At 57.0% G+C, this 24,439-nt stretch overlaps 4 annotated features.

The window, feature by feature from the left end:
* Nucleotides 1,171–1,723: an enhancer, noted in NCBI's record as "H3K4me1 hESC enhancer chr9:138262192-138262744 (GRCh37/hg19 assembly coordinates)". NCBI's record gives its function as "activates a minimal SCP1, AML or CMV promoter by ChIP-STARR-seq in primed H9 embryonic stem cells {active_cell/tissue: H9 hESC(primed)}" and the evidence as "EXISTENCE:reporter gene assay evidence [ECO:0000049][PMID:30033119]".
* Nucleotides 1,724–2,275: an enhancer, noted in NCBI's record as "H3K4me1 hESC enhancer chr9:138262745-138263296 (GRCh37/hg19 assembly coordinates)". NCBI's record gives its function as "activates a minimal SCP1, AML or CMV promoter by ChIP-STARR-seq in primed H9 embryonic stem cells {active_cell/tissue: H9 hESC(primed)}" and the evidence as "EXISTENCE:reporter gene assay evidence [ECO:0000049][PMID:30033119]".
* Nucleotides 8,106–9,043: an enhancer, noted in NCBI's record as "H3K4me1 hESC enhancer chr9:138269127-138270064 (GRCh37/hg19 assembly coordinates)". NCBI's record gives its function as "activates a minimal SCP1, AML or CMV promoter by ChIP-STARR-seq in primed H9 embryonic stem cells {active_cell/tissue: H9 hESC(primed)}" and the evidence as "EXISTENCE:reporter gene assay evidence [ECO:0000049][PMID:30033119]".
* Nucleotides 23,495–24,162: an enhancer, noted in NCBI's record as "H3K4me1 hESC enhancer chr9:138284516-138285183 (GRCh37/hg19 assembly coordinates)". NCBI's record gives its function as "activates a minimal SCP1, AML or CMV promoter by ChIP-STARR-seq in primed H9 embryonic stem cells {active_cell/tissue: H9 hESC(primed)}" and the evidence as "EXISTENCE:reporter gene assay evidence [ECO:0000049][PMID:30033119]".

Below are 24,439 nucleotides of genomic sequence, written 5' to 3' on the forward strand. Positions count from 1 at the left end.
ACGCCCGGCTAATTTTTCTGTTTTAGTAGAGATGAGATTTCACCATGTTGGCCAGGCTGGTCTCGAACTCCTGGCCTCAAGTATTTTGCCCGTCTCAGCCTTCCAAAGTGCTGGGATTACAGGCATGAGCCACCACGCCCCGCCATCAAAATTGCTTTTTAAAAGTGTGTTAAATTCAAAAAAAGAAGCTAGAGGAAAGAGGGCAGAGGGTGGCATTCAGGCAGCAGAAGGGCTGTCCTCATGGTCCTTGTGGTGAGGGGATGACCTCCTGCTGAAGGCCAGTCCACTGAGCTGGCACCCACAGAGGGGGACCTGGACTGTTTGCAGCTGAACAGCCTGTAGCCAGGGCTATCAGAAGGCAGGGAGACCTGGAGTGCATTGACAGTCACCACACAGGTTTCCAGGAACCTTCCCTCCCTTCCCTGAGTCAGCATTCATGCATACATTCCTTCCCTTATTCATTCAAAATGTTTCTGGCCAGCCTACCAGGCACCCAGCACATCAGACCTCTGATCATTTGCTCATAGACTCATTCATTCATTCACTTAATCACTGTCTCTGTCTAGGCAGAAAGCAAACATCTAGTCCTGCCAGCCCTAGACAGAATGATTTCAAACCCTAATTAGTACTGTGGGGCTTAATGAGGTTTCCTGGGATTCTCATTATCAGGGAAATCATTTCACAAAAGCTGTCCATGATACAGTGGGCAGGGGCACCTCATGCCAGTAAGGAGCCTCTTCCTGAGATGAGCAACCGAGGAAACACCAATTAAGCAAGGAAGCTGTGGAAGGGGATGCCCCGGGCTTCCCAGAGTGCAGAGCATGGATGCTTAGCTGAGGGGTGGGGCTGGAACCTGGCTGCCAAAGCAGTTCTGCCAGCAGGAGCAGGGATGGCCAGGCAGCAGCACAGGTCACTGCCCCGCATGGTCAACATGCATTGCGGATTTTAGCTTGCGTTTACGGATGGCTTCTAGCTACAAAAGACACAGTGGCGCTCAGTTGCTCACCTGTGTATTTTAAGTAACTAATTCCTATTCACACACTCATTCATTTAGCCATTCATGCAGGTTTCAGATGTTTAATGAGCATCTACTATGTGCCAAGCAGCTTCATAATAAACACACACTTATTCATAAATCCATGCATCTGTAGACTTCAGATGTTCAAATGTTCATAGATGGCTTGGGGCTTGCAGGGACAGATCTTCCAGTGTCACCAGGAGCCTCTGGGATAGGCGGGAAACGCTTCCTACAGGGGGTGGGGCGGGGGGCGCATTTGAGCTCCATGTGGGGAAGGCCCAGGGCAACTCTAAGCTGAGTGCAGAGTCCCAGGTCCCGAAAATAGTGAGGCTTCCAGGTCACGAGGTTACACCAGCATCCATGACGTCAGCAGGCCAGCGGCGGGCCCTTAGCCATGGAGGTTCAGATCGTGTGGGTTGTGGGTCCCACGGTCCCAGAGTCAGCCGGGCGCCCATTGGCTTGGCCTCAGGATGCCCAGGGACATGCCTGGTGCAGCTGGGGCAGCAGGAGCTCACTCTACCATGAAATATTCATGGCTGCTGGCAAAGCCCGGCCCTAAAATATAGTTTGCAGAAGAAAAAGAGCCATCAGGCATTTAATCATTGTGTTAATGAGGCTCTATTTGGAAGCAAACTCCATCTGACTGCGTCCTAGACAGCAAGAGTCAGGGCCCGGCCAACCTGTGTTGCCGGCCGCAGGGGCAGCCTCATCCCTGAGACACCAGTGGGAGACACGCCCGGGCAAGGCACAGGCTTGGCTCGAGGCCATGGCCAGCGGCCCTCCACTTCAGGGGAGCCCATGAGATTATAACGGCATCCTGAGGTTTGCCAAAAAGCATCCTTTTAAGCAGAAAGCAAGCAACGGCCCTGCATGGAGGCGCCACAGATCCAGTCTGGCTGAGCAGGGGCTAGACCAACTCGTTTTCCCTAAGCAGCTTCCTCGGGGGAACCACTACCCCTCCTGCCTCCAGCTCCCCCTGCTGCCCAGGCCGCCGCCACAGGTCAGTGTCCTCCAAGGTGGGATGCACCCCGTGGACACCCCCACAGGAGCTTCCCAAGCTGACTTCCCGGGCTACCCCAGCTCAGCCCTGCCTCGGCTTTTGTTCTCCTGAGGGCCCCTGTCTGAGGCAAAGGTGTCACAGCTCCACCAACGCCAGGCTCTTCCTACAGTGCCAAGGACGCCCACCTGCTTCTCAGCCGAGCCTTCCAGCCTGGGTCTACTCTTGGCCAATGGCCGGTGCCCCTCTGGAAAGGGTTGTCTCGTGCCTACATGTCCCTCTGAGTTGCTTTTCAGAAGTAATTTCCATGTAATGAGAACACAGGGAAATCTCATTATTTCAGACACCACTAATTAGGGGTTTGTGATCAGCCTGTCCAGGGCCAGCAGAAGCTGACATTTGCTTTCTCCACAGACACTGCAAATTACCATCCAGACAAGATTGCCGGGCCCTTTACAAAGCCTGAAGCAGCTCCTGCAGCCGCCGTCAGCGTCAGCAGCCGCCCTTCTTCGCCAGGTGTGCTGATTGCAAGTCTCTCTGTGCGGCAGGAGGGGACGTCTCCAAAGGGCAGGCGTCCAGTGGCAGCACCGCAGGCCTGTGGGTGTTCCACCTGCAGAGGCCCCAGAGCAGCCCACGGAGGGCCACGGTGGTATTATTCCCATTTCACAGGGAAGAAGCAAGGTCAGAGCTCTTCCCAGATGGCTCAGTGAGTACATCATAGGGACATGCCCCAGGCCACCAGGCCCCACGGCCTCCAGGGTCCTGGCAAGTCCCCCCAGGGACGGTGGGTGGAGAGGAGGGGTTGCTGGCAAAAATCAGGGCCCCTGGGGAGCAATCCTCTCCTGTGGGCTACAGGTCTTCATCAGGGATGGACTCAGTGGGTCCCAGGCTCCCTTCTCCAGCTCTGCCAAATTCCATCCCACCCGGGAGATGTGGGGTCCGAGCAAAGGGACCCTTCTCCTCTGTGAACTTAGAGGTCCATAAAGGACAACGGTCCAGGGCAGCGAGGCACGTCGGGGTGGACAGTGACGAGGGAGCCGCGGCCCAGCCATCCTGCTGTGGGGGAGACGCCCCAAGGGATGCACAGTGAGGCCTGGGCAGTGGGAGCTCCAGAAGCTACAGAGCAGGAGCCATGGCTGCATGTCCAGAGCCAGGCTTTCCATTCCCACGCTGCCCACGATGACGGAGCGGAGGACACAGAGGGAGGAGAAAACGCCCCCTGAGAAGGGGGACAGGGACGACAGAGCCTTGGAGGGAGTTCGGACAGGAGGGAGTGCCCACTGAGCGCATTTCCTGAAACTTCCAGCTCCCCCTCCCCCGAGTCTTTCCCAGGGCCAAGGCCATCCCTGGTCACGGAGCCCGCACCGCCTCCTCCCTGCAGCGCCAGGCCCATGCTGCCCGCCCTTACCCGCTCCTCCCGTCCGGCGCTTGAGAGACGTGGTGTCTGGAAAGTCTGTCCCATCCCAGGTGAGTCACAGCGAAGGGGCCATGTTGGTGGGAGGCAGGGGATCTGGGGAAAGTGGTACTGCCCCAGGAGGGGCTGCTGGGAGGGGAGGCAGGGGCGAGGCCCTGTGCAGAGGCTTCTCCCACCAGGGGAGTCCCAGAAGGGCACAGCCACGCCCTCCGATGCCACGCCTGCGCCCACAGAAGCCCCGCCTTCCTCCCAGCTGCAGGCGAGTCTGCATCCTGGGTCCCATGGGTGAGGCCCCAAGGAGCTGTGGAGGCTGCTGTGGTTGACCCCGGTGGAGCCCCACAGCCACCCTGCCCAGAGGCCTTCAGCAACTCCTCAGGGAGGAGAGGTGGGGGTGGTGTGGGGCGGGGCTGAGCTTGGTGCCCTGGGGTCCTTGGTTCTTTCCTCCTCAGGTGTCACCTGGTGCCCCTGCATAGGCCCCAGGGCCCATCAGTGCCCAGCAGCACCCAGGGACACACCCAGACATGTGGGAGCAACAGGGCCTGGGTGGAGGACTGGGGGACTGGGGTCTTGCCGGGAAGGTGCAGGGAAGGAGAGAGGGAGGCACGGGGCAGACAGGGAAGGGGCGGAAGGGTGGGGCTGGCGGGCAATGGGCACTGGAGATGGAGGCAGGCTCTGCCAGCCACGAGGGCGGGGAAGGTGAAGTGGAGTCAGCGTCCTCTGCCAGTGCCTGGAATCCTGCAACCTGGAGGCAGCCTTGCGATGAGCTCTGCTGCAGGCCTGTGGACGCGAGCCCCACTGCTTCATGGTCGCCCACTCCCTCTGTTAGAGTCTGACCTGAGTCCATTTGTACTGGCAGCTTCCACAACACCCACTGAGACCCACGCCAACGCGCCCCGCCCACGAGAACCCAGGTCACTCCCGCTTGGTGACTGCGGAAGAACTTTCCGGGTGTCACGTTGGTCCAGTCCCAGGTATAGTCCAGACCCAGTGTCTGGGAATCAGTGGGCTTCACAGGCACACACCATGGGGTGTGCACCCCAAAGCACCGCAGCTTGTCACAAGTCGGGGGACCCTGGGGTCTCCTCTCTCTCTCTCCCCCGCTCCCCAGGCTGTCCTTCTCTCAACTAAGTTTCCATCTGGATTCCAGCCCACCCCCATGCACGGGACGCAGGAGCTCTGGGTGCCCACCACTCCATGAAGGGTGATTGTGGTGATGTATTTGACCTTCTGGCAGCAATTTAATCAAATCTGGAAATCTGGGCCGGCACCTGGTTCGGGACTCATCCCCTGTTGCTAGGAAACCCAACTCCTGCGGATCCCACCCTGCTCCATCCGGAGACAGTGGGAGAGACCCTCCTGCAGCTGAGGCCAGGGCTGGGGAATGGCTGGAGATGGATGGGGACAGCAGTGGCCTTTGCACTGGCTGACTTCACAGCAGAACTCCCACGAGTGCCGAGAAACAGCGTGTAGGGGCGCTGCTCTCCCTACAAGCCCTTCCAGGCGCTGCAGGTCCGCCCCTGGCCCTCCCCCCAACTCCCCCTCCACCTCTCACACCCCCTCTACCCACCCTCTCCCTCCCCCTCCTCCACCTACTTCCACAGACTCCAATCTGTTTCTCCTGCTCCAGGTCACTTAGAAGCTTGTGGCGCATCCCTCGGTACCTCTCTCTGCCTGCGCACCATAAACACCCAGACTACAGGGCCATACCTGTCTCTTCTTGGTCTCCCCAGCATCCTGCAGATTAGTGGCCCTTCAGACACTTTGCACCCCAGTAGGGGGTGGGGAGGCTGGTGGAAAGTGAGCCCTGTGGCTCCTGGAGAAGCGGCGAGCAGCAGGCAGTGTTACACAAGGGTCCTCCCAACCCAGCTGACCTCACCAGGTCATTCATGCAAGAATGCGGGGCCAATGGGTTTCTGCCAGGCGTGCCAGGGCTGAGGGCACCCCTGGGTCCTCACAGCCCCCACTGTCCAGGGACAGCAGAGTCCTCCTTCCCTTTGCCATTTCCATGTTTCTCATTTCAATAATTCTTGCAGCCCATGTTGTGTAAATAAAATTATTCTTCCCAAAAAAATCGTTAGCAGAGCCCGACATTAATTCCCCTGCAATCTGTGTAATTAACTGCATGTAATATAGGGCATTAAAGGACCGGTTTGCTAATCACCACTCCTCCGCTCCACGCACCTAATTAAATCTCCTTCCTGTTTATCCACTTACAGGATCCTCTGCAAAGATACCAGGCACCAGGAACACTGTTGTAATAAATCTTTGCGTAATTTTAGAGGGTGCAGTCCCACTCTGTTTCATTCCCACTGCTGAGCCCCTCCTCCCTGCAGCCACGTCTCCCCATGACTCGGCTGAGCTGTGGCTCTGTGGAAAGCACTCTGTGGCCGCCTCCGGGGTGGGAGGGTGGGATGCTGTAGTGCTGAGCGAGGTGGGTTCGGGAAGGAGCGATCACAGGAGCCCGGCTCCAGCACCCTGCAGCGGCACAGCCCTCTCGGGTTCCGGTACCTTCCCCACTGCAGCCGCTTCCACTAGAGCCTTTTACATGGTCCCACTCCCATGCCTGCCTTCATGACGGGGGCTGGGTCCCTGGGCCGTTCCTCCTGGCTGTCCAGTCCCATTACACGGGGGCCGGCGAGGACGCAGGGAATGATGGTGCCCTGCCACTAATGGGCCAGCCGGTGGGCCCTACATGCCATTACAGATGTCCTTAGAAGAGTAGAAGTGGAAGCTTTGACACCAAAGAGACCACGTGAAGACACAGCAGAGACGGAAGGGGTGCCTGCAGCCACCAGGAGCTGAAAGAGGCAGGAAGGATCCTCCCGCAGAGCCTTCGGTGGGAGGGTGGCCTGCCACACCTTGATTTGGGACTTCTGGCTGGCAGAACGGGGAGAGCGTGGATTTCTGCTATTTTGAGCCTCCAGTCTGTGGCAATTTGTAACTGCAGCCCCAGGACACAAACACAGCTACTAAATCAGAATCTGAACTGGGACGAGACCCCCAGGTAATGCGACGCATGACATTTGGGAGGCTCTGGGCTAAATGCTGCCTGGAGCCCGAGTCATCTCTTGGCCCAGCAAGACCTGAGTCTGAACTCAACACTAATGAGCACACAGACCCCTTTATGTTCAAATGACCATGTGTTGCTCCTCTCCCTGCATCGGTCCTTTTAATCCTGCCACCCCACGGGAGCTGTCATACCATCACCCAGGCTGGGAAACTGAGGCTCAAAATGAAGTAACTTGTCCAAGAGCACCTCTCTAGCCAGTAGCTGGGTTGGGATTAGAACCTGGGGACTCTGGCTTATAGAACCTCTTAGCCATTGGACCAAGCCCGCTCTCCCACTGGGGCCTCTTGCTCACGGCTTTGAGGATGATAACGCCACCAATCTCGGCCCTGTGCTGTCTGCTCCGAGCACGCAGGTGGGATGGGGAAGCTGAACTTGGACGGCCAGGCTGAACTTGCTAGAAGAGACTGGGGTTCACTGTGAGAGCATGGGTGGACCTGGGTGGACCAGAGGCCATCTTTGCCCTGTGATTGTCGGATGGGATGCAGGTGGCCTGGGCACCAGAGGTGGCCGAGGGGAGGCAGCAGCACCACAGACACCCGTGGCCTGGGCCTATTTGGGGTCTGGGGACGTGTGGTCTGAGCCGGTGCTGGAGTCCTCAGCTCTCCCCAACTCTGCTTCCCTCAGCTGCCTCCTGTGGCACTGCCCAGACACTTGCCCACCTGAGGCCCAGGAGTGCTTGATTCCCGTGTCGAGGGTCAGTTCCCCTGAAGCCATGCTGGAGAGAGAGAGACGGGTGTGCCGGGGGTCTCCCAGGAGCCCTCTCAAACAGACCCCTGTGAGGGAGCACAGGAAGCTGGTCTGGGTGGGGGAGAAGCTGAGCTCTGGTGCAGTCGAAAGAGAGTACTCAGCTCATCTCCCAAGTGCGCAGAGCTACCCCGCGTCAGGGTGAGGGGCCCAAGACCTCCCAAGCCACACATCCTCCAGTCATGAGTCAACTTGAGCCAGGCTATTCTCTCCAGCCAAAGGCAGTTCTGGAGAGGGTTGGTCTGAGAGCCACCGTCGGCTGCCAGCACTCTCAGCAGGGGGAATCACATGCTTCAGTACTGCACGGGGAATCTGGCCCCGGGTCCACCCCACACACGGCCCTGATGCCAGCCCCGCTGGGATACCCCCACCCCACACTCCCTCCTTCATACTGGGAGATCCCGGTTCCTGGTCAGCAGAGGGGGCCTCGAATCCCCAGGGCGGAGGGCCAGGGCAGGTCTCGGGGTCACAGCTACTTCTCTGCCTGGATTTGGGGGTCAGTGACATTAATCACCACCGGCCCCCAAGGCCCTCCACATGCATGTCTAACCAGGCGTCTTGCCAAGCCTGTCTCTGGCAATTTCCTCCTGTTAATAACACTTCCATTCACCCCGTGCAGCAAATCCATCACCACCAGCCCCCTTGTGGCCCATATTTTTTACTTTTAATTATGATCAAATGTGGAATATTGAGTAGTTTGATGCATTTTAGGTGTCTACAGAGACTTCTTTTTAATAATGCAATTGCAGGGCTCTGATGGCTCGTAGCTGGAGTCATTACTTAAATATGTGTGCAGCCGGGGCTCCCGAGTAGGACGCTTTCCCCCAGCGAGGGGTGCTGTGCGGGGATTGGGGTGTTGGAGGCGGCACGGGAGTAATTACAAAGGCGAAAGTGTTCTCGGATCCCAGGGGTGAGCCCTGACCTCCACTAGTGTGGGAAGACTGCAGGTGGGTGCTTTCTGGCACCTTGTACCTGGATATCAAGCAACCCGCAGAGGCCACTGCGCATTCCCCCCCTCACCAGAGGGTCTCTTCCCAGGAAGAAGTGACTGGTAGCACACGGCCCCATAAACTCACCTTCTCTGACCAGGACACAGCCAGGGCGGAGGGGACTCAGGGTCAGGTGCGGGTCTGAGCCTCCCTCTGTCCTCCCTGAGATGAGGCGTCCTGTGGTCGGTGAGGGGCTGAATTGGATAGGCCCCACGTTGGTGGCAGTCTTCAGCCCGCCGGCCGCAGGTGCACTGTTCTGATGACCAGGCCGAGGGGGCTCGTCCAGAACATGGACTGGGATGGTTAATCTGGGGTTGGGGGTCTTCCTAGCTCTGGAGGAGATTCTTGGGGGATGCAGAAGTCAGAAGGTCATGTGGGGGTGCAAGGGTGTGACCTGTCAGAGCATCACCTCGGCTGAGATGACCCAGCCTCAGCGGGTCCCTTGTTCAGTCCATGGACATGGCGTGGCCATGGGAGAGGTGGGTTCCTGCAGCTGAAGGGGATCCTGATGGGCTGGGAGCCCTCGTCCTCCCTCAAGGGGGTCTCTAAGCTTCCCACAGACCACCCCTCACTCACTGGGGTCCAGTCAAAGAGCGACTTTCCAGGATCCCCAAGGGCCCCCTCCTGGAAGCTTCCGAGGATGCTGGGGGCCTCCACGGCCCCTGCCCACCTCTGTCCTTAGGGTCTCCCAATCCACCCTCCAGGCTCCATTCCCCCACCCCTAGCCAGCCCTTCTGCTGATGGGTGGCTCAGGCCCTCATCCCTGAGGGACCTTCTGGGTGGGGGTTACTGTCCCCATCCAGTTACAGTCACAGTCAGGCAAGAGAGCTGTAGGAGGTGCCCAGGGGGGTCAGCTGGCTCTACATGCATGTCCCGCCCCATGTGTGCCAGCAGCAACCCCCAATGGCTAGTGTCGGTCTCCCCAGCAAGATGTTGGCCCCCTTCTTGCCTGCTGGTGTCTGGAAAAAGGAGCCCAAAGGGCCCCAGCGACTACCATGGCTCAAAGCTGAACAGAACACTGGCTGTGTCCCTGTGAGAGTACAGCTGCTCTGGAGAACAGTATTCAACCCTGTTGAACCTGAGCCGTGGGGGTGGAAACACAGGTCCCCCAGTGGGTCGCTGGGAGTGAAGGGAGGTGCGGCCATTCCTGACTCCATCCATTGGGTCCAAGCCTGTGTGTCCCTCCCACTGGGAACACAGCACCACATCAAGGTCCTTGGGGGGTGGCACCACCTCTCATGGGTCATTGGTGTGCCCACCACTCTCCCAGGTGGTAAGCTCCAATGGGCCATATGCGATGGGAGCAGTGGCCCTGGGTAAGTGGTGCCCAGCCCAGGTCTGACGTGGCATTACATGGGGTCCCACGCCAAGCGAGCCAGCCACTCTGCATGGCCCCAGATAGTACTGCTGGCGGAGGCCCAGTAGCAGGAAAGGCAAACCCAGGCGTGGGATCCGCACCTGTCCCTGGAGAAAGCACCTCTGTCCTTCCAGGAGGAGAGCCCAGTGTAGTCATCCAGGAGCCGAGCAGCAGTGAAGCTTTGCCCGGCAGCCCTCCCAGAGGCGGCCTCCTACGGACCTGTGGCTGCGTCTCCAGACAGAGCTGCAGAGCTTCACAGACTCAGGGCCCGGCCGGCCAAGCCTTCACGCAGTCCACACATCCCTAGCCCGGGAGCCCCTGCTCAGAAGTCTCTTTACCTCCTCGGGGGAAGGCAGAGGGAGGGGAGCTGAGGACACTCAGCACCCAGGGCTTTCGCACCGCTAACACGTGTCCCTCTCTGTCCCACATCCCAAGTTCATACAATGACAGGAGCCTTTAGCTTGGGGCTCCCTTGGAAGCGAGGCAACCCCCACATCTGTGCTGATCCCCTGAATGTAGGCCTTTCTAGGTAGGAAAGTGGAATGGGGGAGGGGGGCCCAGGCTTTCTTTGCTGTGGCCTCTTGCTTATCCAATTGTAGTAAGAGAGTGCTATGGGCTAAACCGTGTTCTCTTAAATTCATAAGTTGACTCCCTGCCCCATGTGACTATTTGCGGATAAGACCTTTAAAGGGGTAACTAAGGTGAAAAGAGGTCCTGAGGCTGAGCCCTAATCCAATAGGACTGGGGTCCCCATGCCAAGAGGAAGAGACATCTGGGATGTACATGCACAGGGGAAAGGCCATGTGAGGACACAGCAAGAAGGTGGCTGTCTGCAGGCCAGACAGAGAGCCCTCACCAGAAACCACATCAGCTGACACCTTGATCTTGGACTTCCAGCCTGCAGAACTGTGAGAAGATAAGTTTCTGTTGCTTATGCCACCAGCCTGTGGTCTTGTGTCACCGCAGCCCCAGCAGACACCTGCAGTGATTAAAGCCTGGGCCATGACTCTCACCAGGGCTTGGTGCCTTCATTATCTACTCCAGTGAGCTGGCCCTCTCCAGCTCGGCCCAGCCCCTGGCAGTTCACCTGCCACCAAGTGGGCAGTTGTTCCCCAAGGAATGGAGCCATTTCCCGGGCTCAGCATGGTCTTTTTTGCTGGCAGGTTGGACACCTGGTGGCCACAGGAGCTGGGTCAGCCTGGCAGGTGGGAGCCCTCCTGTGGGGACGTGTGTAGTCTCCATCTCAGCCACCATGGTCCCTCCATCCTCATGCCCACTGTGTCAGTGCCAGGTGGCAGGTGACCAAAGCTGATGACGTCAACCAGCTGAGTCAGTTTGTCTCTGGCCGTTCAGTGGCCCCCTGTGGCTTTAACATGTGATACAGGATCTTCACTGCCTACGTCTGCCCACGCGTCTCTGTGCCAGACTCCTAGACTCCTCAGGGTGCTCCGGAGAAACACAATGAATAGGCGGTATAGACAGAGAGAGATTTATTATGAGGAATTGGTTCACACGATTATGGAGACTGAGAAGCCCAGCCATCGGCCATCGGCAAGCTGGAGGCCCGGAAGAGCCCACGGTGCAGTCCCAGCCCCAGTACAAAGGCTGAGAACCGGGGAAGTGGATGGTGTGGGCTCTAGTCAGAGTCAGAGTCCAAAGGCAGGAGAACACCAGAGTCCCAGCTGGAAGGCATCAGGCCCCAGGCAAGTCCTCCCTGGCACTGCCTTTTGTTCTATTCCGGCTCTCTATGGCCTCAATGAGGCCACCCACATTGGGGAGGTGTCTTCATCTGTTTGGACCGCTATGACAAAAATACCATAAACTGGGTGGCTTCTGGAAGACAAACATTTGTCACTGATAGTCCTGGAGGCTGGGGAGCCAAGCCCCAAAGCCCCCGCCGCCCCCAGGCCCTGGCCTTTCCCCACTGAGCGTTTGCCCTCTGTGCTGTCTTCCAAGGTGTCCCCTCGAGGGGGCCGTGGTGAGGGTGCCATCCGTGTTCAGTGTGCAGTGTGCACTCTCACGTCCATGACCCAGCTTGGGTCTGCCCTCCCTGTGTGGCCGTTCTGAAGGCCTGAGCTGAGGGAGTTGCCTGGTGCAATGGGCTGGGTGCTGCGGGTCCAGGGCCACCTACCCATGTCGCTCGATGGTGCCTCTGGGCCTGCTCATGGGTGGTCCTGGGCCCTTTCCTTCTCATGAGGGATTATTGCTAGACACATCCGGCCTTAGGACTGGGTAGGCCTGATGCCACCTATCTCCTGAAGAGATTTTCAGGCCACAGAGTCGCCTGATGTCCTGTGGTCGGGTGTTCTGTCCCTCCTAGGGCCCACTGGCATAGTAGGAGTTGTTTTCAGAGGCATTTATTTCCCTGCAGTCATAGGATGAGAACCCACATGTTCTCCCCCAAGGCCTGGCTGAAACTTTGCCCCACATCCTTTCCCACCACTGACACCTCCAACTCCACGGTGTCCTCCTGATCCCAGGGCCTGAGAAGCAGGGCTGCTAGCACTACAGAGCTTGACATGTTTTGGTCATGTCCCCACCCAAATCTCATCTCAAATTATAGCCCCCATAATTCCCACGTGTTGTGGGAGGGACCCGGTGGGAGATAACTGAATCATGGGGGCGGTTCTTTCCCGTGCTGTTCTCGTGATAGAGAATAAATCTCATGAGATTTGATGGTCTGATAATGGGGAGTTCCCCTGCACATGCTCTCTCTTGCCTGCCATCATGTAAGATGTGACTTGCTCCTCCTTGCCTTCCGCCATGATTGTGAGGCCTCCCCAGCCATGTGGAACTGTGAGTCCATTAAACCTCTTTCCTTTATAAATTACCCAGTCTTGGGAATGTCTCTATTAGCAGCATGAGAACGGACTAATACAGAGCCATTTCCTGCCCCATTCAAATCTGACAGCATCTGTGTTGCTCCCTCCATAGACGGAAGCTCCATCCCTGCCCATCGAATCTGCTGCTTCCAGAACCTGAAAACGCCCACCACACACTGTGCTTCTTTTGTGGCAGGAGGTGCAGATGCAATAATTTATCTGTGACTTTGGAGGACAAATCCCAGCACACATTTGACCACCAGACTCCTAAACATTTTCTAGTTGTGGCAGGTTCCCGATCTGCAAAGGGGCATTCTCCACCCTTGGGAGTGCATATGTCACACCAGGGCCTCCACCGTGCATGCTGCCTCCTGCTCGTCTGGCCCAACTGACATGATGTCAGCCTTGTTCTGGATCAATATGACACTCTGTGGGATGTGTATTATGTCAGAGGGCAGAAGAGTTAACATAGCCCTAGAAGAAAGTGTAAATCTATATTGTTGTCTGCTCCTGTGGAAGTGAACTCGTATCTGGGAGTGCCTCAGCAGGGGGTGCTGGCGGGCAGGCTCTGCTGGGCCCCTTTCCTCCTCCATCCGCCGCAGGGCCCCTCTCCTCCTCCATCCGCTGTAGGGCCCCTCTCCTCCTCCATCCCCCGCAGGGCACCTCTCCCCTTGGTCCCTACAGCAGTGCAGTTGGGCTTCTTGCATGGCTGCGAGAGCGAGAATTCCAAGAGGCCCAGGCAGAAGCACCGGGCACCAGCAGACCTGGCCTCGGAAGCCAGGCAGCCACACTTCCTCCATATTCTACTCATATGCTCATGGCAAGGAAGCCATGAGCGTGAAGCCGAGGAAGGCGGGTGGGGCTGAGTCCACCTCTCCGTGGGAAGACAGAGAATGTGCGGCCCTCACTAGATGACCGCAGGTAGCACAGCCAGGCCAGGGTCAGTGTATCTGTCCAGGTCACTGCTGAGTTAGGAGACCCCTCCCAAATCACAAGAGGCAGCCTGGCCATGGGCCTCCAGGCTGAGCCCCTCTCTGCCCTGGCGGCCCTCTCTTCCTGCAGGCTCATCAGTGTCCCTGCACGGCTGGGTGCCTCAGGGGTCTAAAGAGTAGTCAGTCTGTGTGTGGGGTCTCAGGGTGGGTCAGAGTGTGGCTCTGTAGACATGTCTGGGTCTGAGCTCCACACAGAGGCAGGAGGGCCCCCAACCACTCTGCAGAAACCGTGCGGAGTTCCTTCTTTTCTTTAAGGCTTGTGCTCAGGGCCACTCACAGTCCTGCTGGCGTCAGCAGCACCACCGTTCACTGCCCAGCCCAGCCTAGGCTCTCAGCACCCACATGTCTACTAGCACAGCAAGTTACACACTAACGGCCCTAAACTACGTCCCTGATTGATGGCTCTTTCCTTGAACAAAATCTGCCAGGCTCCCTGAAAACTCCTAACTTCCCTCTGCAAATCCAGCCATCACCCCTGCTAAACGACGCATGAGGGGGTGGGGGTGCCGTACCCACTTCTCGATCAGGGCTGGCAGCAGAAGGCCCCAAGCCCCTCCCACTCTTGTGTGCCCCCCGCTCTCCGACAACTTTAAAAAATAGGCAACCGACACCAGATGTAGAGCCCCAGGCAGGGTCCTCGTGGCCACGGCTGCCGGCAATTCGTGGACCCTGGAGGGGTCGGGCCTTTGCTGTCCCAGAAATGTTCACCATCGTTCGCCTTCCTCTTCTGGGAGATTGCTCTCCGGCCCCCACTATCTCCTAAACTTGGCCGCCCCTGGCCCCCAAGAGCACTGCCCATTCTTTGGTCCCATGTCCTTTTTTTTTTTTTTGAGACAGAGTCTCGCTCTGTCACCCAGGCTGGAGTGCAGTGTGGCACCATCTCGGCTCACTGCAACCTCCGCCTCCCAATTTCAAACAATTCTCCAGCCTCAGCCTCCCGAATACCTGGGATTACAGGCATGCGCCACCACGCCCGGCTAATTTTTATATTTTTAGTAGAGACAGGGTTTCCCATGTTGGCCAGGCTGGTCTCGAACTCCTGACCTCAAGTCATCCGCTTGCCTCAGCCTCCTTAAGTGCTGGGATTGCAGGCATGAGCCATCTTGCTCGGGCCCATGTCCTTCTTCTGCACTGGACGTGACCTCTTGGAGGCTGGTGGCTCCATGTGCCCCTGGAGTTGGGAATCACCATTTGAGCATTTCCTCTGAGACCCACCAGTGACAGTTTCCACGTGACCTGCACATTTAGAACCAGGATAGCTCACCCGATAGCTCACCTGTGCGGGGCTGCCTGGGGCTGGATTACTGGCTCTGCCCACACCTGCCCCCTGCACCTCCACACCTTGAAAGAGGACTTGAAGAGTCTGCTGGGAGTTTGGGAAAGTAACATGAGCTTTCCCTGAAGAAAAAGTTGCCCCCACAGCCAAGAGCAGGGAAGCAGTGCGCCTCCTGCCGCTGCAGGTCAAGGGAGGGGACCCCAGGGCTGGGGTGTCCCACCAGAGAGGGCAGCCCAAGGCAAGGAGCTGAGGCTGGACGGTTTGGGGCAGGGACACAAGCCAGCTCCTCCAGAGGGGGGCTGGGCTCTGGTCATCTTGAAAGAGACCCCTCCCATGAGGACCACTTGGAGTGACCAAGTGATCCAGGAGAAGGGCTGCGGCAGGTGGCCAGCCAGGAGGCTTCCCCCCGTCCAGGAAGCCACAGGCAAGAGAGCCTCAGAGATGGGGTCTCCCGCACCCGCACGAGGACCCTGCCTCAGTCCTTTTATGCGGCTCTAACAGAATGCCTGAGGCTGGGTAATTTACAGAGCAGAGGTGTGTTTCTCCCAGTTCTGGGGGCTGGGAGGCCAAAGTCCAGCCTCCAGCAGGCTCGGCATGCAGTGAGGGTGCTCTCCCTCTCCACACTCGCCCTGGGGATGATGTTTCCAGCACACGGATGTAGGGGGACACACCTGGGCATGGCAACCCCCCAGGAGCCGGCCACGCCCAGCAGCACCCGCACAGACACCTAGGCTCCCTCCCTGGGGACCCTTCCGCCCCTGCCTCTCCCTGACTCTGCTGAGGTGGGGGCAGGGTGGACATGGTTAGGGGGGCTGGAGAACAAGCTGACCAGGCCCCCCAGCCCCTCCCCACCTGAAGGGCCCTCCTGCGGGAAGGCAGGGCTTGACCTGGGCGAGTATGTGCAGACGGTCCCAGGGTTGGGAGGAGGACGAGGAGTGTGTGCTGAATGGGGACAGAGCATCAGTTTGGGAAGATGGAGAAGTTCTGGAGAAGGAGGCGGTCACGGCTGCACAGCCATGTGAATGTGCTTAGTGCTGCCGAGCTGCGCACTTGGTCAGGAATGGCTAGGAATGGTTAGGAATGGTTAGGAATGGTTAGGAATGGTTAGGAATGGCTAGGAATGGTTAGGAATGGCTAGGAATGGCTAGGAATGGCTAGGAATGGCTAGGAATGGTTAGGAATGGTTAGGAATGGCTAGGAATGGTTAGGAATGGCTAGGAATGGCTAGGAATGGTTAGGAATGGCTAGGAATGGCTAGGAATGGTTAGGAATGGCTAGGAATGGCTAGGAATGGCTAGGAATGGTTAGGAATGGCTAGGAATGGTTAGGAATGGTTAGGAATGGCTAGGAATGGTTAGGAATGGCTAGGAATGGTTACAAATGGCTAGGAATGGCTAGGAATGGCTAGGAATGGCTAGGAATGGTTAGGTGCACCTGTGGTCCCAGCTACTCAGGAGGCCGAGGCAGGCGGATCACATGAGCCCAGGAGGTCAAGGCTGCAGTGAGCCAAGATCCTGCCACTGCACTCCAGCCTGGGCGGCAGAGCAAGACCTTGTCTCAAAAAAAAAGAAATGGTTAGTATGGTGAATTATGTTGTGTCTTTTGCCACAGTAACGTGTTTATTTTTATCAGAACTTCTCTGCAGAGCATACACTGAGCGAGAGCAGCGCTCCTCTGCACAGGCCAGCACTGGCCACCGTGCACCCTCGTTCCATTTGTTTGCTCCTACGGTTTCCACATGAACAGAAGCCACACACATCATAAACCAGCAAAGCCACGCTGGCCAGGTGCTCCACGGGATGGGAAGGGGTACAGGTGACCAGATGGCTCGATGGACTCAGAGGCGGACATTGGGAGCGAGGTGGGGGCTGACCCCACTTTGGCCCACAGGTCAGTCTCAGGCTGGGGTCAGGTCTACCGTGTGCGACCTGGTGTGTGACTAAGCACTTGGAGAAGAAGCCAAAAAGATGATTTCTGGGGTGAGAGAGGATGGCAAGGGGCAATGAACAGGCGGAGTCTCGAGCTCTCTGTATGGCCCTCCACCCTCCCCGTGCCCACCCTGCGTCTGAGGGCTGAGCTGCAGTTCAGTGCAGCAGAACCAGCAAATCACTCCTGGTTGGTTGAGCCAGTGGGCTCCCAGGCCATTCATAAATGATGAGTGGTTGCCACAGCAACAGCCCCGGCCCATATTTCATCTCCTGGCAAGCTCTAGCAACGCTGCAGAAAACCAGACTGAAAAGGAAGGGGCCTCAGCCTCCCCACTCCGTGGTGGCAAGACCCACAGGGATCTGAGTGTGGGGCCCACATGGCCCAGGTGAGACCAGGGTTTGGTGGGAAGAGAGGGCTGGTTTGGGACAAGAAGAGTGGCTGTCAGCACAGTTTGGAGACTGAAGGTGGCCAAATTTCACTCTGGGCTTTGACCTGGTACAATGTGTGTTCCATTGCCCGTGTCCTGTGACCCCCTCCAAGCCTTAGTTTCTTCATCTATAAAATGGACAGAGAATTGTACCTGCCCCAGTGGGTTTTTTGAAAATGGAAAGTGATTGTGGCCGGGCATGGTGGCTCATGCCTGTAATCCCAGCACTTTGGGAGGCCAAGGTGGGTGGATCACGAGGTCAGGAGATGGAGACCATCCTGGCTAACATGGTGAAACCCCGTCTCTACTAAAAATACAAAAAATTAGCCAGGTGTGGTGGCGGACACCTGTAGTCCCAGCTACTCGGGAGGCTGAGGCAGGAAAATGGCGTGAACCCGGGAGGTGGAGCTTGCAGTGAGCCAAGATAGCGTCACTGTACTCTAGCCTGGGCGACAGAGCAAGACTCCATCTCAAAAAAAAAAAAAAAAAGAGAAAGAAAAAAAAAGAAAGTTATGGAATATGTAAAGTGAAGGCACCTGGAGTCATTCAGTAAATGTTACTTAATGTCATGACTGTTTGTAAAAACATGTAAATTATAAGAAAAAACATATTTTTTCTTTTACCCACATATTACCATTTCTGCTGGTCTTATTCTGTCTGGAGTAAGATCTGTTCCTATAAGAATAGGGTATTTTTGTTTTTTGTTTTGTTTTGTTTGAGACAGAATCTCACTCTGTCACCCAGGCTAGAGTACAGTGGCACAATCTCAGCTTACTGCAACCTCTGCGTGGTTCAAGCGATTCTCCTGCCTCAGCCAGCCAAGTATCTGGGATTATAGGCACCCACCACCGTGCCCGACCAATTTTTGTATTTTTAGTAGAGACGGGGTTTTGCAATATTGGCCAGGCTGGTCTCGAACTCCTGACCTCAGGTGATCCACCCGTCTCGGCCTCCCAAAGTGCTGGGATTACAGGTGTGAGCCACTGCACTCGGCCAAGAATAGGTCTTAAATATAAGAATACAAGAAGTGTTTTGGGCCAGGCGCAGTGGCTCACGCCCGTAATCCCAGCACTTTGGGAGACCAAGGTGGGTGGATCACCTAAGGCCAGGAATTCGATACCAGCCTGACCAACATGGAGAAACCCCATCTCTACTAAAAAAATACAAAAATTACCTGGGCGTGGTGGTGCGCATCTGTAATCCCAGCTGCTCGGGAGGCTGAGACAGGAGAATCGCTTGAACCCGAGAGGTGGAGGTTGCAGTGAGTCAAGATCAGGCCACTGCACTCCAGTCTGGGCAACAAAGCAAGACTCCATCTCAAACAACAACAATAATAATAATTTTAAAAAGAAAGGCGTTTTGATGGGGCGTGGATTCTAGATTGGCAGTTCTGTTTTGTGTTTCTTTCTGTGTGTTGAAGATCTTGCCCCTCCGTCCCCTTGCTTGTCTTGGTTGGGAAACCTGCTGCTGTCCTTGTTCCTCGGAATGTCACACGTCCTTTTCCTGTGACTCTTCTTAAAACTTTCTCTGTATCATTGGTTTTGGCAATTTGATGATCACGTGTTTTTGCAGGTTTTTTCATTCTTCTTGTGCTTGGGGTTCGCTGAGCTTCCCAGATCCCCAGGTCTGTGGTTTTTATCAAATCTGGAAATTCATCAGCCATTATTTTTGCAGATGTTTTATGCGCTCCTCTCTTCTCTCTCAGGGACCGCAGTGGAGCAGATCTTCGGCTGCTCCAACTCCGATGCACCGTTCAAATGTTTGAGGGTTTTTCTCTCCACGTTTCATTTGTAAACCAAAAATAAAATTCTAAGGCCCCCCAACCATCTGAATGGACTGCCTTCTTGGCCAGGACACTCTAAAATTTAACCTGAAAGACTGGTTCAGGCCTTGACCCTGGACGGGAAGTAGTGGTTGGGCTTTTGCCTCATTACACCCTCCAGCACAATCAATACAGACCTTAAGTCAGATAAAAAGCATTTAGGAGGCCGGGCACGGTGGCTCACCCATGTTATCCCAGCACGTTGGGAGGCTGAGGTGGACGGATCACCTGAGGTCAGGAGTTTGAGTCCAGCCCGGCCAACATGGTGAAACACCTTCTCTACTTAAAAAATACAAAAATTAACTGGGCGTGGTGGTGTGCACCTGTAATCCCAGCTACTTGGGAAGCTGAGGCAGGAGAACTGTTTGAACCCGGGAGGCGGAGGTTGCAGTGAGCTGAGATTGCACCATTGCACTCTAGCCTGGCAACAAGAGTGAAATTCCATCTCAAAAAAAAAAAAAAAAAGTGTTTAGGATCTATTCCCTCTGACACCTTTTTGCAAACTCACAAACCAATCTGCATGCACTCCCATTCTGAATCCATAAAAGGAGGCCTCATCTGCGAGATCAAACTTTGGTCTCTGCAACCTGTTATCATAGCCCAGATAACCCAGACATTCCTCTCTATAGATAGTAACTCTTCCAACCAATTGCCAGTCAGAAAATTTTTTAATCTACCTATCACTTGTAAGCACCGCCCTTTGAGTTGTCCCGCCTTTCCGGGCTGAACCAATGTGTTACCTTGTGTCTTTAAGAGCTGTGTCTCACATATTGAGTCTGGATTTGGGAGACGAGGGGATCACAGAGGCTTTGGGGCAGGTTCCCACCAAGACCATCATGTCTGAGTTCGACGTATGGGAACACGTAGCCACCAGAGCTGGCCCAAGCCCATGTCACCCCAGCAGCATCCCCATCTCCATTCTAAGGGGAGATGAGGACAACATGAAAACAGGGTGCCTCTCACGTCTCACACCCACCAGCTCTCGTCTTACAGCCTCAGCCTCATTGCTTACCACAGGACGGGCTAGTCCTCGCCTCCTGGTGCTCCTGAGAGTGTGGGTGCTACAGGCCCGCAGAGGCTCTTTGTGAGCTGGGGAAGGAGCAGTGGTCAGGCAAGCCCAGAGCTCAGGGGCTCCAGACCCATCAGGAGGATGGAGCCCCACAGGGGAGCTGGAAATGCCTCCTGAGCTCCAGCCACCCTGCCAATCAGGGACCAGGAGGCAGGTGTGGGAGCCCCAGAGAGAAGGAAGGGGAAAGTCTTCCCAGGCCCTGGGGCCTTGCAATTTGTACCTACTTCCTTCTCACTGTCATTACTGCATGCAGAATGACATGCAGGAGCTGGAGACCTGGAAGGATTAGGCCCAGCCTGGACTCTCCCGGGGTCCTGGCTGGCTCTACCTTCCTGCTGGGCCCGTGGCACTGGGCACCGTGGCGCCTTTTCTGGACAAGGGGCCTGGCAGCCTCTCTTTGGTACTCATCTTCTCTTGTCTCCTAGGCTTCCCTGAGACCCAGGAGAGACAAACCAAGCCACCGATCCACAGCCAATGGGCCTCTGTAATAAAAAAGGTACCAAGAGTCCATGAAATGTTTAAACACCGCGTTTAACTACTAACCAGTGAGGCAGAAGCCAGTACCTTCTGAGAAAGGATTTTCCAGATACTTTACAGATCAAAGCCATAGAATAAAATAAATATGACCAGAGAGGGCTGTGAGGAACAAGGAGTTCTGTCAAAGAAAGAGCTCATATGAAGAAGGAGGGGGGAAGAGCTGGAGGGGGCTGCTGGGAGCACGTCCACCCTGTGCCCCTTGCAGACGCTCCCCACAGCCCATGCAATCTTGGAGGGCGGAAAGGCCCCCGGGGGCCTCTTCTCCCCCACAGCTGGTCATAACCGTGTCCCGCCACTGACAGGCAGGGTTGTTCACGTCTTCAATTCCCAAATAAAAAAACTGAGATCCTGAGAGCTGCATGTGTCCGAGGTCCTCCAGGGTGGTATAGACAGGCCTGAGCCTGTGTGACTCCAAGCCCTGCTCCCCACTCAGCCCCGGGATTTTCCAGGGCGGTGGCCTCATCCTCCCTCAGTGGATTCAACCAAACACTCGTTGTCACAGCTGTTTGTCCAAATTCATGGCCCCTGAGTTTCTAGAAAAGCAGAGTACACACTGACCACAGAGTCGGTCTGATGCTGCCCTCCTCCTCCAGGAAGAAGCTCCAGAGGTGAGCTACGGACAGCCGTCCCCTGGGACCGTGGTTCCCAGGCAGGGCTGGGGCCCTGGCTGCTGCCTCCAGCCCCGGCAGCCGCATGGGCCTGCTGTTGTCTTCCTGAAGTTCTTAGCCTTTGGATGACAGGCCCACATTTCCACTGGGCACTGGACCCTGCTGGTTGTGCAGCTGGCCTCAGTCCCAGGACAGGAAAAGTTTCCCTGAGCCCCCTGCACCAACCCACACCCAACAAGGTGTCTCGTGGAAGGATTTTGCATCCTATTCTCACCACAAGGGCAGGACAAGAAATGAGGAAGGAGGTGGGCAGAGAGGCGGTGACCCACGGAGGGATGAGGTGGGGGAGAAACAGGGCAGTGCCTGGAGGGCCCTTGCTCCAGGGAAGGATGGGGCGCCACCAGTCTGGGGGGCAGGAGATACGGAAGATGGGACCTGTGAAGGCTCTGACCAGCCCGGATGGCATCAGGGCCCCTGGGGCTGAGCTCAGTGGTAGAGACCAGAGGACAGCATGCAGGTGCTCCTAACTAAGCTAGTGTGCACCAGACATGGTGTTGGGTGCAGGGGATGTGGAGAGGAGCCAAAGGAGGGGGCAGCCATGGGGGCAGGGTGGGGGTTCTCCAGGAAGGTGGAGCTGGCTGTGCCTTAAAGGGAAGGCAGGTGAGGGCACTAGGGCACAACCATGGCCAGAGGCGGCCACACCCAGCGTGCTCCATGGATTGTGCAGCTGGAACAGGTGTGTTGGGGGGTTGGGGGTCCCAAGAGGCAAGGCCAACAACCCGGGGTCTCAAATGCCAGCCTGAGCCATGGGGAATGTTCCAGCTTTGTGGCCACCATCGGCAGTTTTAGGCTGGAGAGGATGAAGGCAGGATGCTAGGGGCTTCGGCGTGGCAGTCGGGAGGGTGGGAATGTGGGGATCGAGCCAGGGGTCCTGCAGGATGTCAGGAGCTCATGCAGAGGATGAGGGAGAAGGTGGCAGCCCCGGGGGCCCACTGGACTAACCAACTCTCCAGCACTGTAGCTTGAACAGGTAACTTCCTCCTGGACGCCATGAAGTGCTCTGCCCAGTGTGGTGTGATCCAGAGGTAGGGGGACCCCTGCCCCTCAAAGAACCCCGTCAAAGTGGCTCAACCCTGATTCTGAGTTCCCGGGAAGCCTCAGGCCACATGGGTGTCTGAGCCCCACTTCTGTATGTGCCACTGGCACTGTACACAACATCGTACCCCAAGAGACAGACATCCACGCGACGCCCACTCCACACAACAAAGAGCATCGCCACGGACACCTGCGCCAGCTCCGCTCCTCCAGGCGGCTGCGCGAGGCTTCCCAAAGCAGGCACTCCTGCCTCGGGGCGCCGGGCAGACCCCGGGATGCCTGTGCTCTCGTTTCCCCAGGACTTCTTTATGCAACCTGAGTCTACCCCACGGTCTGCCACAGTCCAGTTCAAAGACCTACAGTCCAACCGCCGAAATGCACTCATCAAAGAAATCCTGGTCTTTATCTAGGCTTCTTTAAAAACACGAATCTACTTGATTCGTGGAGCACAGAGACTCCACAAAGTGCTTGGACTTTTCTGTTTCTTCTTGCACACCCCACATACGTTCCAGAGTCCCCTGCCCTCTGAAGCCACCAAAATCTCCCTCCCCGAGCCTGAGTCCCCGCCGCCCGCTCTCTCAGCCCCTTGGGCATTCGGCCTTGTGTGGTTTTGTGGCCTCTGTGCCTACATCCAGGTGCTTCGTGACACGAGTCCGAGAGACCAGCCCCACGCCAGCCTCTGGCATCCTGCCTCCTCCCCACCTCTCCTGCCCTCTCCCCACACCCCCTCACCCACCAGCAGCCAGACTACCAAGCCCAAAACTCCCCACAGAGGGCCATCCTGGGAGGGAAGGCTGGGGGTGCATGTGTTGGGAAATCTTGTCCCCAACGCATTGGAGGGTGTTGATTTTCCATTGTCCCACAGGGTCCCACTGTTCATGGCCAGTTCTCTGGCCCTGCCCTATCTCCTCTCAGGTACCCCTTAGAAATGGGACGATTCCATCCTGGAACAGCAAGACCACACGGGCCAGGAGTTCCAGCCTGGGAACAAGAGGAGCCTGGCCAGTGGAGGGGCCAGGAGTGGGCCACAGGGAGGACCTGTGGCCAACACAGCCTCCCTTCACGTCCCTCCACAAGGAAGGGGGAGAGCGGGATGCCGCCCTCCACCCCACGAGCTCTTCAGTAGGGAGGAGGGAGGTGTCCATGTGCTGGTGAGGCCTGGCTGGCCCCACTGCCCCAGCACCAGTGGGGTGAGCCTGTCCCGCCGCCCACCCACAGAGGCAGCATCCACAAGTTGGAGCCACATGGGCATAGCCAGGTCCTCGCCCAGGTCAACCAGACCCGGCCAGGGCAGTTAGGCCGGTGACTAATGGCCTTCCCTGCCGAGGCCCTTTGTGCTTCCTAGCTTTTCTAATGCAGCTGTGAGCCTGAGCCTCTAATTATCACCTTCAGTGATCTGCCAGGTCAGGCTGCCCTCCACGGAAGCTCCCAACTGCTCTGCTCTCATCCTGCCAGAGGCCAGAGCAGGAGCTTCTAAGAGCACAGACCTCCAGCGGTCAGGAGAAGCGAGGAAAAGAAGTGAGATAGCTTGAGTCAGGAGTCACCAGGTGCCCTGGGCATGGCCTGTCCTGCCTGACTCCCCAGCTCGGCAAAGTCCCCTTCTCCTCCCAGATGCCCGAGACCCTGTCTCCTGGTCCCCCTTCCCACCCAACCCCTCATCAGCCAGAAAAGGGGCCAGACCACAAAGGGGCCTCCCATGGCCCCTCCTGCCCACTGCTCTGGGACTGGCTGGGCCCCCTTCCAGCCCCCACACCCAACCTGGCCCCCGAGACTGTGCCCACCTTGCCTGCCTCAAGCCCTTAGGATGCCTGTCCCCCGTCTCCATCTGAATGCCTCCTGTGGAGTCTCTGATTTCAGCTGAGAAGCCGCCTACCCCCATGACTTGCCTGCACTCCAAGGGCACCCCACAGCCTCCGGGGCTCCCCCGTCTTTGTGGGGACCACCCTGCAGTGCAACTGTCCCATTTCTTCTCTGTCACCCACCCACTGTGAGCAGCAGTAGGTCAGCAGAGGGTCTGCTGTGCTCATAGCTATAGAGGGGCACCTACCTCTACCCCCAATGCCTGGGACACTTGGGCTGTCACAGAGGAGGGGGAGCTGCTGCCTCAAGTGGGCAGAGGCCGGGGATGCTCTTCAACCCCCAACAATGCACGGGCCGGCCCCTCACAAACAATGATGGTCCAGCCCCAAAGGGCAAGAGTGCCTCCGAGGAGACACCCAAGGCTGACTCCCCACAGGCACAGGGCCCGGCCCACGGTGGGACCTCAAGAGTGT

The sequence above is a fragment of the Homo sapiens genome, chromosome 9, assembly GCF_000001405.40.
Source record: "Homo sapiens chromosome 9, GRCh38.p14 Primary Assembly".
NCBI classification, from domain to species: Eukaryota; Metazoa; Chordata; class Mammalia; order Primates; family Hominidae; genus Homo; species Homo sapiens.